Here is a 15,161-nt window from a genome sequence, read left to right as displayed (position 1 = left end):
GGCCAGGCATGGTGGCTCACACCTGTAATCCCAGCACTTTAGGAGGCCAGGGCAGGAAGACTGCTTGAAGCCAGGAGTTTGAGATCAGCTTGGGTAACATGACAAGACCCCATCACTACAAAAGTAAAATAAATAAATTAGCCGGGTGTGGTAGTGCACGCCTGTAGTGCCAGCTACTCGGGAGGCTGAGGAGGGAGGATTGCTTGAGCCCAGGAGGTCAGGGATGCAATGAGCTGTGATTGTGCCACTGCTCTCCAGCCTGAGCGACAGAGAGAAACCCTGTCTCCAAAAACAAACAAACAAACAAAAAAGGTGGGAGGGGGGACCTCATAGGAACGCTCTTGAAACAAAAAAATTGCAAAAGGCAAAGGGTGTTTTCTTCATTTATTCATTCAACCACAACATTGATCTGAATGAACAAATAAAACATGGGACCCTCACCCCCAATCCCAGATATTGTGACCCCCAATGGGCTGAATGTGAAGAAGTTTTCTGCCATGCATGAGTTCCAGAACCTCCATGCTCAGAGCAAGGCTCGAATCCAGGAGTTTGTGCGGGGCCATTTTTATGGGTACGTGGGGCATATACCTAGGTCTTAAGAGAGGAGGGCGTTGGGAGCCTAACCATCTAGGTCTGGGGGAGGGGGCAGCTGGGGGCCCAGACTCCTGGGTCTGAGGGAGGGGGCACCTGGGTATTCGGCCTCCTTAATTCTTGAGCGCTGGAACAATGGGCTCAGGATTAAAGGAAATCTCCATCTAAAGAGAAGAACTACAACTCCCAGGAGGCCCCGTGATGCCTCTGTATTACCTAAGACATCCTCTGCCCCCCCACCCATAGCTTCTGGGATTTGTAGTTTTGAGGCCAGGGCTAGCGGGTGAGGGCTTTGGGCTTTACCGTGCCTTGTGGGTTCTTTAGGCATCTGGACTTCAACTTGGACAAGACCTTATACTTCTTTATCGCCGGCCGCTATGAGTTCTCCAACAAGGGTGCTGACGTCTTCCTGGAGGCATTGGCTCGGCTCAACTATCTGCTCAGAGTGAGGCCTGGGCTATGAGGGGACAGGGAGGGCAAGCAAAGCAGTTTATAACTAGGGAGAACAGCCAGGCACAGTGGCTCACACCTGTAATCCCAACACTTTTGGAGGCCAAGGCGGGAGGATCACTTGAGCCCAGGAGATGGAGACCAGCCTGGGCAACATGGTGAAACCCCATCTCTACAAAAAATACAAAAATTAGCCAGGCATGGTGGCTCACACGTGTAGTCCCAGCTACTCGGGAGGGTGAACGGGGAGGATCACGCGAGCCCGGGAGGTGGAGGTTGCAGTGAGCCAAGATCATATCACTGCACTCCAGCCTGGGCGACAGAAAAAGACGCTGTCTCAAAAACAAAACAAAACAAAACAAAACAAAAAATTACAGAACAGAAACCCAAGAAGCCAGGAAGATGGGGGTAGGAAAGCCCCTGAGTATGGTGGGGGGCCGTGAGGGGAGTATAGAGACCCAGAAAGAAGGTCAGAGTCCAGGTGGGGACTGTCCTATAATTCTCCTTGACAGGAATGGGTATGGCAGGATCCCAGTGGTCTTGACAGAAAGGCTGGCTGGTTCCAGGCTTCCCCCACATGATCCTGGCCTCCCCCTCCTTTCTTTCTGCGCAGGTGAACGGCAGCGAGCAGACAGTGGTTGCCTTCTTCATCATGCCAGCGCGGACCAACAATTTCAACGTGGAAACCCTCAAAGGCCAAGCTGTGCGCAAACAGCTTTGGTTAGCAGCCCTCGCTCCGGCCCCTGGCGCAGCCCACTCCCAGATGCATGCTTTGGGTCCTGTGTTTCTCCTAGAGTCTCAGTTTTTTGTTTTGTTTGTTTGTTTGTTTGTTTGTTTTTGAGACAGTCTCACTCTGTCGCCCAGGCTGGAGTGTAGTGGTGCGATCTTGGCTCACTGCAACCTCCACCTCCTGGGTTCAAGCAAGTCATCTGCCTCAGCCTCTCGAGTAGCTGGGACTACAGGTGCACACCACCATGCCTGGCTAATTTTTGTATTTTCAGTAGAGATGGGGTTTCACCACATTGGCCAGACTAGTCTCAAACTCCTGATCTCGTGATCTGCCCGCCTCAGCCTCCCAAAGTGCTGGAATTACAGGCATGAGCCACCGCACCCGGCCCTCTTTTTTTTTTTTATTTTGAGATGGAGTTTTGCTCTGTCGCCCAAGCTGGAGTGCAATGGCATGATCTCGGCTCACTGCAACCTCTGCCTCCTGGGTTCAAGCGATTTTCCTGCCTCAGCCTCTGAGTAGCTGGGACTACAGGGGTGTGCCACCACACCTGGCTAACTTTTTATTTTTATTAGAGACAGGTTTTCACTATATTGGCCAGGCTGGTCTTGAACTCCTGACCTCAGGTGTTCCGCCTGCCTCAGCCTCCCAAAGTGCTGGGATTCCAGGCGTGAGCCACCACACCTAGCCTTTTTTTGTATTTTTAGTAGAGATGGGGTTTCACCATGTTGGCCAGGCTGATCTTGAACACCTGACCTCAGGTGATCCAGCCGCCTTGGCATCCCAAAGTGCTGGGATTACAGGGGTGAGCCACTGCGCCTGGCTTAGTTTCTTTTTCTTTTCTCTGATTTTTTTTTTTTTTTGAAACAGAGTCTCACTGTTGCCCAGGCTGGAGTGCAGTGGCGTAATCTCAGCTCACTGTAACCTCCGCCTCCCAGCAAAGCTCAGTTTCTTCATCTGTAAAACCGTTCATTCATTAGCAGAGATACTCACTGAGCATCTACTATGTGCTAGCTAATTTTTATATTTTTAGCACCGATGGGATTTCACCACGTTGACCAGGCTGGTCTTGAACTCCTGACCTCAAGTGACCTGCCCTCCTCATGTATTCCAGGTCCTGGGAATACAGCTGTGAACCAGAAAGATAAGATCCCTTTCCTCATGGAGCTTGTATTCTAGAAAATCCTGTAGACGGAATTTACTTTTGGGCAAAAATAAAGCAGAACTGGAATATGAGACGGGGTTGTCAGGACAGGCCACACTGAGAAAGTGTTATTGGGCAGAGACGAGGAAAGGTGACGAGGGAGCAAGCCCTGTGGGTATCTGAGGAACAGCAAACTCGAAGGCCCCGAGGCATGATTGAGACGCGGTGGGGAGTCCCATGGGGCTGGAGTGACATGTCTCATAGAGAAGGGGTAGAAAGTGAGGCAAGATGGAGGGCACCTGTAGTGCCAGCTACAGGAGGCAGGAGGATCATTTTGGCCCTGGAGGTTGAGGCTGTAGTGAGGCATGATTGCGCCACTGCACTCCAGCCTAGGCAACAGAGTGAGACTCTGTCTCAAAAAAATAAAAAAGAAGTCGGGCGTGGTGGCTCACACCTGTAATCCCGGCACTTTGGGAGGCCGAGGCGGGTGGATCACCTGAGGTCGGGAGTTTGAGACCAGCTTGACCAACATGGTGAAACCCCGTCTTTCCTAAAAATAAAAAAAATCAGCAGGGCGTGGTGACACACATCTGTAGTCCTAGCTACTCGAGAGGCTAAGCAGGAGAATCGCTCGAACCCGGGAGGCAGAGATTGCAGTGAGCCAAGATCGCGCCAATGCACTCCAGCATGGGTGACAGTGAGACTCGGTCTCAAAAAAAAAAAAAAAAAAAAGAAAGAAAGAGGCTGGGCGCGGTGGCTCACACCTGTAATCCCAGCACTTTGGGAGGCTGAGGAGGGCAGATCACTTGAGGTCAGGAGTTCGAGATCAGCCTGGTCAACGTGGTGAAATCCCATCGGTACTAAAAATATAAAAATTAGCCAGATGTGGTGGCGCACGCTTGTAATTGCAGCTACTCAGGAGGCTGAGGCAGGAGAATTTCTTGAACCTAGAAAGTGGCCGAGATTGCGCCATCCTGGGCGACAGAGCAAGACTCTGTCTCAAAAAAAAAAAAAAAAAAAAAAAAAAAAAAAAAAAAAAAAAGAAAAGAAAAAAGAAAAAGAGACAAAGAAAGAAAAATAAATGAGGCCAGAGCTATGGGAGGATTTTAAGTGGAGGAGTGACCGTGGGGCTGTTGTGTGACACTGCTAGCTTTACTTGTGTGCCTAAGTGGTCCTTTCTCAGAATCTTACTTTCTTTTCGTATAAAATGGGGCTTAGCATTGCCATCTGCAGGACAAGTACAAGTCCTAATAATAGCTGACATTTCTGGAAGGCTTGCCATGTGTACTTTTTGGCATGACATCATTGGGTCCTCATCGCAAACCTCTGAGGTTGATTCTATTTTCATCCTCCTCTGAAAAATGAGTCACTGCAGTCAGAGAGGGAAGGCCACCTGTCCCTGACCACACAGCTGATGTCAGGCACGTGGGTCCTAAGCCTTCCAGGGCCTGCCCCCTGGGTCCCCATCCTCCAGCCTGGAGGCCCCAGGGCACGGCTTCCCTGCTCACACCTCAGTTTCCTTGCTATCCTAGAAACCTAAGGGTAGCTGGGCGCGGCAGCTCATGCCTGTAATTCCAGCACTTTGGGAGGCCGAGGTGGCCAATTACCAGCCAGAGGTCAGGAGTTCGAGACCAGCCTGGCCAACGTGGTGAAACCCCGTCTCTACTAAAGTTACAAAAATTAGCCGGGCATGGTGGCAGGTGCCTGTAATCCCGGCTACTCAGGAGGCTGAGGCAGGAGAATTGCTTGAACCTGAGAGGCAGAGGTTGCAGTGAGCCAAGATCGCACCACTGCGCTCCAGCCTGGACGACAGAGTAACTCTGTCAATAATAATAATAATAATAATAAATAAACTGCTGGGCACAGTGGCTCAAGCCTCTAATCCCAGTACTTTGGGAGGCCGAGGTGGGCAGATTACCTGAGGTTGGGAGTTTGAGACCAGCCTGACCAACATGGAGAAACCCCGTCTCTACTAAAAATAGAAAATTAGCCGGGCGCGGTGGCTCATGCCTGTAATCCCAGCTACTCGGGAGGCTGAGGCAGGAGAATTGCTTGAACCTGGGAGGCAGAGGTTGCAGTGAGCCGAGATCACGCCATTGCATTCCAGCCTGGGCAACAAGAGCCAAACTCCGTCTCAAAATAAACAAACAAACTAACTAAAGAAGCCTAACAGTAAATGGCAGCTGGTGTGTATGTGACCCTGTTGCTCTGCTTCCTCCAGGGACACGGCCAACACGGTGAAGGAAAAGTTCGGGAGGAAGCTTTATGAATCCTTACTGGTGTGAGTGCCCCACCCTCAGCCCTGTGCCCTCCTAGGCCCTGACTAACCCCTCTCATTACTCCGTTCTCACATGCATGCCCCTGCTTGCCTTGCAGTGGGAGCCTTCCCGACATGAACAAGATGCTGGATAAGGAAGACTTCACTATGATGAAGAGAGCCATCTTTGCAACGCAGGTATGGATTGGACCTCTGTGCAGAGAGATAGCAGTTCCTGGCAGCCCCAGAGGCAGCTTGCCAGGCCAGCTCAGACCCCAGAGATTGCTGGGAGTCCTGCTTTCTCCTGCAGCCCTTTATGAAGGGATCTATTCTGAGGTCCACAGAAGGGCACGTGCTGACTCGTGCAACTTCAGTTGCTGGAGGCGAGGCACTTAGGGTGGGCTGTTTTCTGTGGCTTATTCTGCCACGAGGGTTGCTGGGACGTGTGGTTTCTCTGGGATTCTGGGGTCAATGAGCAAAAGGAAGCTTATTTGTTTATTTATTTTTATTATATTTATTTATTTATTTTGAGATGGAGTCTCGCTCTGTCGCCCAGGCTGGAGTGCAGTGGCACGATCTCGGCTCACTGCAACCTCTGCCTCCTGGGTTCAAGCAATACTCCTGCCTTGGCCTCCCAAGTACCTGGGATTACAGGCACATGCCACCACACCCAGCTAATTTATATATTTTTAGTAGAAACGAGATTTCACCATGTTGGCCAGGCCAGTCTCAAGCTCCTGACCTCAAGTGTTCTGTCTGCCTCAGCCTCCCAAAGTGCTGAGTTTACAAGCGTGAGTCCCTGTTCCCAGCCCAAAGGGAAGTTTAAAAGGAAGTGTAGAAATGTAATAAAGGGCCAGGTGTGGTGGCTCATGCCTGTAATCTCAGCACTTTGAGAGGCCAAAGCAGGAAGATCACTTGAGACCAGGAGGCTGAGGCTGCAGTGAGCCATGACTGTGCCACTGTACACCAGCCTGGGGGACAGAGCCAGATCCCACACTAGCCCCCCACCCACCCCCAAAAGAAAGTCAAGGCCCAGCTTGGTAGCTCACACCTGTCAGTATTCCCAGCACTTTGGGAGGCTGAGGTGGGAGGATCGCTTGAGCCCAGGAGTTTGAGACCAGCCTGGGCAACATGATGAAACCCTGTCTCTACCAAAAATACAAAAATGAGCTGGGCATAGTGGCATACACCTGTTATCCCAGCTACCTGGGAGGCTGAGGCCAGAGGATGCCTTGAGCTCAGGAGGTCAAGGCTGCAGTGAGCTATGATTATGCCGCTGCAGTGAGCTATGATTATGCCACTGCACTCCAGACTGGGCAACAGAGCGAGGCGGACACATACACACACACACGAAAGAAGGAAAAGAAAGAAAAGAAAAGGTCAAGACAGCCATAAAAGAATTACAACTCTCAGCTCTCCTTGGGCCTTGCTGCACACGGCTCCACCTCTACCCCTAAAACTGCTGGGAGTGGTAGTTTTATCGGGCCACTTTAGGGACGCAGTCAGGAGGTGAGCAAAAGCACCCAGCATTCTCCAGAAAACATTGCAAACTCTCAGCAGCTGCGGTTTCTTATTTCCAGAGGCTGTGTGTTGGTCCCCAGACACCCCTGGGAATTGTAGCTGCTTTAGATCCCTAACTTCAGAGAGAATTGGCATTTATAAAATGAGAACTTACCGTCATTCTATTGAGTCTAGGGGCCCAAAAAACTACAACTCCCAGCAGCCCCTGCTGGCTTTCTGGGGCATTGACGCTTCCCTTGTCCAGAGGCTTCTGGGAGTTAGAGTTCTTTCATTCTCTGGGGTCCAGGGACTTCAGTACTTGTGGTCTACATTGGGGAGCCATTTCCTGGGGAATGGAAACCCAGACAGCTAAGTTGTAGAAACAAAACGTGAACTGCTTTTGGCTAACCTATAATTTCCAATAGTCCCTAAAGCAGCCCACCTCATTATGAATGTTTCTGCCATCGGGATGCTGGGAGTTGTAGTTTCTCGGGCCCCTAGACTCAGTAGAGTGGTGGTAAGTAAAATCTTTAATGAGCTATGATGGAACAGTTGCTAAGAACTATACACCCCAGCAGTCCTCAGGACTTCCTATCACACTAGCTCTGTCTTGCTCCAGAGACTCTTGGAAATTGTGGTTTCTTTGGGCCTTTGTTAGGGTTGGAGGTGAATTTTCTTTTTTCTTCTTTTTTTTTTTTTTTTTTTTTTTTGAGACGGAGTCTCGCTCTGTCGCCCAGGCTGGAGTGCAGTGGCGCGATCTTGGCTCACTTCAACCTCCGCCTCCCGGATTCATGCCGTTCTCCTGCCCCAGCCTCCTGAGGCACCCACCACCACGCCTGGCTAATTTTTTGTATTTTTAGTAGAGACGGGGTTTCACCGTGTTAGCCAGGATGGTCTCGATCTCCTGACCTCGTCATCCTCCTGCCTCGGCCTCCCAGAGTGCTGGGATTACAGGCGTGAGCCACCACGCCTGGTGGTTGGAAGTGAATTTTCATAAGGAAACTACAACTCCCAGCAGTCTCCAAAGCTTGCTGCCATATTGGCACAGTCTCCACCCCCATTGACTGGGGATAGTTATATTTCCTTTGGGTTTCTTTAATAATAGAGCCCAGAGTACAGAACAAGGTAGCTGCAACTCCTCATAGTCCTTGGAGGTAAGGGAGTTGCTAACACGGCTTTGCCTCAAAGACAGCTGGGAATTCTAGTTCTTTGAAGCTCATGGTGGTTAAGGGAAGGAAAACATTTCCAGGCCAGGTGTGGTGGCTCATGTCTGTAATCCCAGCACTTCGGGAGGCCAAAACGGATGCATCGCTTGAGCCCATGAGTTCGAGACCAACTTGGCCAACATAGTGAAACCCCATCTCTATTAAAAAAAAAAAAAAAAAAAATTAGGCTGAGCGCAATGGCTCACGCCTGTAATCCCAGCACTTTGGGAGGCCAAGGCAGGTGGATCACGAGGTCAGGAGATCTAGACCATCCTGATTTAACACAGTGAAACCTCGTCTCTACTAAAAATACAAAAAATTAACCGGGCGTGGTGGTAGGCGCCTGTAGTTCCAGCTACTCGGGAGGCTGAGGCAGGAGAATGGCATGATCCTGGGAGGTGGAGCTTGCAGTGAGCCGAGATTGTGCCACTGCATTCCAGCCTGGGCGACAGAGCGAGACTCCGCCTCAAAAATAAATAATAATAATTTAAAAGAAAAGAAAGAAAACCTTTACAGGTTGTACTAGTGGGAATCCACAACTCCTGGTGATCACTTGGGTTTGTTGCCCCACGTCCGGTGCATTTGTGGTCTCCTTGGCTCCCCCAGGGTCCGCATGGCTCATGAGGAAGTAGGGAGTTCTCTGTCCCTTCCATGACCCCTTACCCTTCTTGTGGCTCCTGCAGCGGCAGTCTTTCCCCCCTGTGTGCACCCACAATATGCTGGATGACTCCTCAGACCCCATCCTGACCACCATCCGCCGAATCGGCCTCTTCAATAGCAGTGCCGACAGGGTGAAGGTGAGGGCATTTGGTCAGGGCTGGGTTGGGCACGGCAGAGGGAAGGGGTTGGGTCCTGGGCCTCACACACTCCATTCCCCTATAAGTTTTATCAAAGGTATTGCTGTGGTTAGAAAGAACCCTGGCTTCTGAGGCAGGCAGACCTGGGTTTGAACATTGGTCCTGCCAAACACATGCTGTGTGATGCTAGACAAGCTTTTTACCCTCTCTGGGCCACCTTGGGATCTCAGGGCTTAGCTAAATAAGGCACTTGGGCTGAGTCCTTCTTTTTCACTACCAGGTGATTTTCCACCCGGAGTTCCTCTCCTCCACAAGCCCCCTGCTCCCTGTGGACTATGAGGAGTTTGTCCGTGGCTGTCACCTTGGAGTCTTCCCCTCCTACTATGAGCCTTGGGGCTACACACCGGGTGAGTGTAGTGGGCAGGGGACAGCGTGGTCATGGCATCCTAGTCAGAGCTAGCATGTCTTGGGGCGAGGCACTGGCCTTCTCTGAGCCTGTTGCCTTCTTTGCAAAACAGGAACAATGGTAATCACCTGTTCTGCTACAGCGCGTGCTTTTGTGATACAATAGCTCATGTATTGAGAAACTAGAAGACTGGGTTTTGAGGACTAGTGAACTGGATGTCACAGTTCACACTGCTTTCTCCCAGAAAGCAGTGGCCCCCCAAATAGTGGCAATGAAATGCACAATTCACAAATACAGCCGAGTGTGGCCAAGTCTCCTCGTAAGACGTTCCCAGTGCCCATCAACTCCACCTTCCTCTTGTTGGTTCACATTAGCCAGTGTTTTTAAAGCTAAATAAGGCTGGGCGTGGTGGCTCATGCCTGTAATCCCAGCACTTGGGGAGGCCAAGATGGGCAGATCATGAGGTCAGGAGTTTGAGACCAGCCTGGCCAATATAGTGAAACCCTGTCTCTACTAAAAATACAAAAATTAGCCAGGTGTGGTGGTACGCACCTGTAGTCTCAGCTACTTGGGAGGCTGAGGCAGAGAATTGCTTGAACTTGGGAGGCGGAGGTTGCAGTGAGCTGAGATCATGCCACTGCACTCCGGCAGTGCTGTGCTCTGGGTGACAGAGCGAGACTCCGTCTCAAAAAAAAAAAAAAAAAAAAATTAAAGCTAAATTAGTGCCATTTCCTAATTTATTAGTAATTTAACAAGTCCTGCAAACTGTGCTTGCATGATAATTAGGAGTCGCGGTCAGCCCCAATTCCCTTTTTCCATAGGCCTTGTTTTATAGATAGATTGATAGATAGTACTAGTCTGTTTTCACACCGCTATAAAAAAAAAATCCAAGACTGGGTAATTTATAACGGAAAGAGGTGTAATTGACTCACCGTTCCACATGTCTGGAGAGGCCTCAGAAAACTCAGTCATGGCAGAAGGGGAAGAAAGAAGCTTCTTCTCATGGCGGCAGGAGGGAGAAGTATGTGAGGGTGCAGGAAAAACGAACATTTATAAAACCATGAGATCTCGTGAGAATTCACTCACTATCATGAGAACAGCGGCGGGGGAACCACCCCCGTAATCCAATCATTTCCCTCCCTCGACACGTGGGGACTACATTTTGAGATGAAATTTGGGGGGGAACACAGAGTCAAACTATATCATAAATATATATTTAATACATTTTACTATTTGTTTCTTTTTTGAGATGGGGTTATTACTCTGTTGCCAAGGCTCACCTGGAACTCCTAGGTTCAGGTGCTTCTGCCTCAGCCTCTTGAGTATCTGTCATTATAGGTGCATCCCACCATGCCTGACAGATGTATTATATTTAGTGCCTATTTTTGCAGTTTACAGATGTTTTTAGGAAAACTTACATAAGAATTATAGATCAGGCCAGGCATGGTGGCTCACGCCTATAATCCCCACACTTTGGGAGGCCGAGGTGGGAGGATCACTTGAGGACATGAGTTTGAGACCAGCCTGGCCAACATGGTGAAACCCTATCTCTACTACAAATACAAAAATTAGCTGGGGGTGGTGGCAGGCACCTGTAATCCCAGCCCTTCGGGAAGTTGAGGTGGGAGAATCGTTTGAACCCCAGAGGCAGAGATTGCAGTGAGCTGAGATCGCGCCACTGCACTCCAGCCTGGGCGACAGAGTCAGACCCTGTCTAAAATAATAATAATAATAATTATAGGTCAGGGGCAGTGGCTCACACCTATAATCCTAGCATCTTGGAAGGCTGAGGTGGGAGGATAGCTTGAGCTCAGGAGTTCAAGACCAGCCTGGACAACATGGTGAGACCCTGTCTCTATAAAAGATTTTTTTTTTTTTTTGAGACAGAGTCTTGCTCTATTGCCAGGCTGGAGTGCAGTGGCACAGTCTTGGCTCACTGCAACCGCCTCCCGGGTTCAAGTGATTCTCCTGCCTCAGCCTCCAGAGTAGCTGGGACTATAGGCGCCTGCCACCACACCCAGCTAATTTTTGTATTTTTATTAGACACAGGGTTTCACCATGTTGGCCAGGATGGTTTTTTTTTTTTTCTCTTCTTGACCTCGTGATCCACCCGCCTTGGCCTCCCAAAGTGCTGGGATTACAGACATGAGCCACCGTGCCCGGCCTTTTTTTTTTTTATTTTTAATTAGCCATGCGTAGTGTTGTGTGCTCGTAGTCCCAGCCTCTTGGGTGGCTGAGGTGGGAGGATTGCTTGAGCCTAGGAGGTCAAGGCTGCAGTGAGCTATGATCAAGCCACTGTCCTCCAGGTTGGGTGATAAAGTGAGACCTTGTCTCGAGAAAAAAAAAAAAAAAGCATTGGGCCAGGCGCAGTGGCTCACACCTATAATTTGACCACTTTGGGAAGCCAAGACGGATGGATCACCTGAGGTCAGGAGTTCAAGACCTGCCTGGCCAACATGGTGAAACCCTGTCTATACTAAAAAATACAATAATTAACTGGGCATGGTGGTGTGTGCCTGTAGTCCCAGCTACTCGGGTGGCTAAGGCACGAAAATCGCTTGAACCCGGGAGGTGAAGGTTGCAGTGAGCCGAGATTGTGCCACTGCACTACAGCTTGGGTGACAGAGTGAGACCCTGTCTCGAAAGAAAAAAAAAAAAGCATAAAAATCCATCAAAAAATTATAATACATTCCTTGAACTATTTCTCAAGGTTGTTAAAGGTATTAAACAAGACGTACTAGATGCTCTGTACACAGGGATACTAATAATGAGAGACCTTATCTTACCCCCCATCAAAATAGACTAAGTCCGTACAAGATACTGGCACAAGAAAGGATCTTACAGGTTGTGACAATTAAGTAGAATGATGGACCTTGGCCCGATCCTACAGGTTGTGAGAGTTAAGTCAAATGGATATTGGGATGCTCAATAAATTAGCATCCTTATCTCCCAACTATGGACTTTCCCGCATCTTGGAGCAAGAGCAAGTAATTCTCTTTTCTGAGCCTCTTAGCGTCCCCTCTGAGAAATAGGGAAATGCACAGCCTGGTTGTGGGGGCTCAGCGACGCTCCGCACAGCGCCTGGCACTTGGTACAGGCGCCAGTAGAGGGCGGTGTTGAGGCGTCTATTGCGATTAAGACGGTAGGCGATGAGGGAAGCTAAGTGGGTCTCTCTCCTGCCTTCCCGCAGCTGAGTGCACGGTTATGGGAATCCCCAGTATCTCCACCAATCTCTCCGGCTTCGGCTGCTTCATGGAGGAACACATCGCAGACCCCTCAGCTTACGGTCAGCGCCCAGGCCCCTGAGGATTCTGGAAGGGGGCTTGAGAACAGTGACTCCTGGATCCTGGGAAGGAGGAGCTTGCACCCTTGGAGACCAGGGGCACCAGGAAATGGGGGGGCTCTCGGGCCGCTGGGAGAGGAGGGGTCCTGGTGCCACAGAGTCCTGGAGACCATGAAGATCTCCCCAGGATGTTTTCTGAACCTGGGTCCTGGCCTCCACAGGTATCTACATTCTTGACCGGCGGTTCCGCAGCCTGGATGATTCCTGCTCGCAGCTCACCTCCTTCCTCTACAGTTTCTGTCAGCAGAGCCGGCGGCAGCGTATCATCCAGCGGAACCGCACGGAGCGCCTCTCCGACCTTCTGGACTGGAAATACCTAGGCCGGGTAGGACCCCCACTTTCCTATCCTCTCCTGGCAAATCAGCAGCTCCTGGCTAGGGGTCTTTGGTGCAGGGTGCAGGGTCTCATCCTACTTGTAACAGTTGCTGTCCCTTTAAGCAATGAACCAGGCCGATCGCGATGGTGGCTCATGGTTGTAATCCCAGCACTTTGGGAGGCCTAACAGGAAGGATCGCATGAGCTCAGGAGTTAAGAGACCAGCCTGGGCAACATTTTATTTTTACTAAAAATAAAAAAAAATCAGCCGAGCGTGATGGTGCGTGCCTGTAGTCCCAGCTACTGGGGAGGCTGAGGTGGTAGGGTCGCTTGAGCCCCGGAGGTTGAGGCTGCAGTGAGCCTTGTTCAAACCCACTGCACTCCATCCTAGAGTAACAGAACAAGACCGTGTTTAAAAAGAAAAAAAGAACATTGGTCAGGCGTTCTCATTTGCATAAGGGTGTGGCCAAAGAGGAGACTCACTTGAGAATTCGGCCCCTGTTTGAGGGGTATGGCTCAGAAACTGTCCATTCACAGGTCTGCTTATCTACATAAGGGGTGGAGTCAGATAGATGGATTATTTGTATGGGGTGCAGCAGTGTGCTCATCTGCATAAAGGGTGTGGCCAAGACCCCCATCATCTGCCTGGGGGTGGGGCCTGGCTCTCACATCCTCTGCCCCCTCTCCTCCTTTCCCCTAGTACTATATGTCTGCGCGCCACATGGCGCTGTCCAAGGCCTTTCCAGAGCACTTCACCTACGAGCCCAACGAGGCGGATGCGGTGAGTGGACCCTGGATTTCTGCTTAGCCAGGAGCTAAAGGGCTGGGCTTCGGTGGGGTGGGGGTCCCTCCTGGAGTGGGAAGGCCTAGAGGTGGCTGGATGCCTGGGTGGGACTGTGAGGTCCTCAGCTCACCCTGGTTTGCACCCACATCGCCGTATGCAGGCCCAGGGGTACCGCTACCCACGGCCAGCCTCGGTGCCACCGTCGCCCTCGCTGTCACGACACTCCAGCCCGCACCAGAGTGAGGACGAGGAGGATCCCCGGAACGGGCCGCTGGAGGAAGACGGCGAGCGCTACGATGAGGACGAGGAGGCCGCCAAGGACCGGCGCAACATCCGTGCACCAGAGTGGCCGCGCCGAGCGTCCTGCACCTCCTCCACCAGCGGCAGCAAGCGCAACTCTGTGGACACGGCCACCTCCAGCTCACTCAGCACCCCGAGCGAGCCCCTCAGCCCCACCAGCTCCCTGGGCGAGGAGCGTAACTAAGTCCGCCCCACCACACTCCCCGCCTGTCCTGCCTCTCTGCTCCAGAGAGAGGATGCAGAGGGGTGCTGCTCCTAAACCCCCGCTCCAGATCTGCACTGGGTGTGGCCCCGCAGTGCCCCCACCCAGTCCGCCAAACACTCCACCCCCTCCAGCTCCAGTTTCCAAGTTCCTGCACTCCAGAATCCACAAAGCCGTGCCTTTCTCTGGCTCCAGAATATGCATAATCAGCGCCCTGGAGTCCCCTGGGCCTGGACCGCTTCCCAGAGGCCAGGAATCTGCCATTACTCTGCGGTGGTGCCAGAGGTTTTAGGAAACCTGGCATGGTGCTTTCAGGTCTGGGGCTTTTAGAGCCCCCCGTGTGGCTTACAAATTCTACAGCATACAGAGCAGGCCACGCTCAGGCCCGGCATGCGGGCCACCAAGTTCTGGAAACCACGTGGTGTCCCTGCGAATGGGGCGATCAAGTCCAGAGCCGGGGCACTTTCAGAGTTTGAAGGTAACTGAGAGCAGATGGTCCTCCATTTCAACTCCAGAAGTGGGGCTCTGGGAGGGATGTTCTAGCCCTCCCTGGCATGTCAGAGCCAGGCTCTGCCTGGAGGATCCCTCCATCCGGCTCCTGTCATCCCCTACACTTTGGCCAAGCAAGAGGTGGTAGAACCACTTGGCTGCTCATTCCTTCTGGAGGACACACAGTCTCAGTCCAGATGCCTTCCTGTCTTTCTGGCCCTTTCTGGACCAGATCCTACTCTTCCTTTCTAAATCTGAGATCTCCCTCCAGGGAATCCGCCTGCAGAGGACAGAGCTGGCTGTCTTCCCCCACCCCTAACCTGGCTTATTCCCAACTGCTCTGCCCACTGTGAAACCACTAGGTTCTAGGTCCTGGCTTCTAGATCTGGAACCTTACCACGTTACTGCATACTGATCCCTTTCCCATGATCCAGAACTGAGGTCACTGGGTTCTAGAACCCCCACATTTACCTCGAGGCTCTTCCATCCCCAAACTGTGCCCTGCCTTCAGCTTTGGTGAAAGGGAGGGCCCCTCATGTGTGCTGTGCTGTGTCTGCACCGCTTGGTTTGCAGTTGAGAGGGGAGGGCAGGAGGGGTGTGATTGGAGTGTGTCCGGAGATGAGATGAAAAAAATACATCTATATTTAAGAA

At 51.4% G+C, this 15,161-nt stretch overlaps 1 protein-coding gene across 3 annotated transcripts in view, besides 5 other annotated features; it reads left to right on the top strand.

The window, feature by feature from the left end:
• GYS1 (glycogen synthase 1) overlaps positions 1–15,161 on the top strand; it is a 25,180-nt gene extending 10,019 nt beyond the window's left edge. For all 3 annotated transcript variants that reach the window (NR_027763.2, NM_001161587.2, NM_002103.5), the window contains 11 exons: positions 454–571; positions 916–1,036; positions 1,655–1,761; positions 5,134–5,193; positions 5,289–5,367; positions 8,558–8,671; positions 8,952–9,078; positions 12,268–12,363; positions 12,582–12,745; positions 13,436–13,516; positions 13,680–15,161. Coding sequence is in view for 2 of the 3 variants with exons in the window: in NM_001161587.2 (NP_001155059.1) it covers positions 454–571; positions 916–1,036; positions 1,655–1,761; positions 5,134–5,193; positions 5,289–5,367; positions 8,558–8,671; positions 8,952–9,078; positions 12,268–12,363; positions 12,582–12,745; positions 13,436–13,516; positions 13,680–14,003 (1,391 nt within the window). In the remaining variant the exon portion in view is untranslated. The remainder of the gene's footprint in view (positions 1–453; positions 572–915; positions 1,037–1,654; positions 1,762–5,133; positions 5,194–5,288; positions 5,368–8,557; positions 8,672–8,951; positions 9,079–12,267; positions 12,364–12,581; positions 12,746–13,435; positions 13,517–13,679) is intronic.
• Positions 4,090–4,329: an enhancer, noted in NCBI's record as "active region_14921". NCBI's record gives its function as "activates an Ori minimal core promoter by ATAC-STARR-seq in GM12878 lymphoblastoid cells {active_cell/tissue: GM12878}" and the evidence as "EXISTENCE:reporter gene assay evidence [ECO:0000049][PMID:35858748]".
• Positions 6,725–7,019: an enhancer, noted in NCBI's record as "tiled region #1809; HepG2 Activating non-DNase unmatched - State 12:CtcfO, and K562 Activating DNase unmatched - State 5:Enh". NCBI's record gives its function as "activates a minimal TATA promoter and a strong SV40 promoter by Sharpr-MPRA in HepG2 and K562 cells {active_cell/tissue: HepG2 | K562}" and the evidence as "EXISTENCE:reporter gene assay evidence [ECO:0000049][PMID:27701403]".
• Positions 11,943–12,463: a transcriptional cis regulatory region, noted in NCBI's record as "genic|chr19:49474085-49474605 region (GRCh37/hg19 assembly coordinates) targeted for CRISPR interference". NCBI's record gives its function as "positively regulates FTL gene expression in K562 cells {active_cell/tissue: K562}" and the evidence as "EXISTENCE:mutant phenotype evidence [ECO:0000015][PMID:31784727]".
• Positions 12,440–12,967: an enhancer, noted in NCBI's record as "H3K4me1 hESC enhancer chr19:49473581-49474108 (GRCh37/hg19 assembly coordinates)". NCBI's record gives its function as "activates a minimal SCP1, AML or CMV promoter by ChIP-STARR-seq in naive H9 embryonic stem cells {active_cell/tissue: H9 hESC(naive)}" and the evidence as "EXISTENCE:reporter gene assay evidence [ECO:0000049][PMID:30033119]".
• Positions 14,733–14,962: an enhancer, noted in NCBI's record as "active region_14920". NCBI's record gives its function as "activates an Ori minimal core promoter by ATAC-STARR-seq in GM12878 lymphoblastoid cells {active_cell/tissue: GM12878}" and the evidence as "EXISTENCE:reporter gene assay evidence [ECO:0000049][PMID:35858748]".

This window comes from Homo sapiens, chromosome 19 (assembly GCF_000001405.40).
Source record: "Homo sapiens chromosome 19, GRCh38.p14 Primary Assembly".
NCBI classification, from domain to species: Eukaryota; Metazoa; Chordata; class Mammalia; order Primates; family Hominidae; genus Homo; species Homo sapiens.
This window is presented reverse-complemented; position numbering and strand designations above follow the sequence as displayed.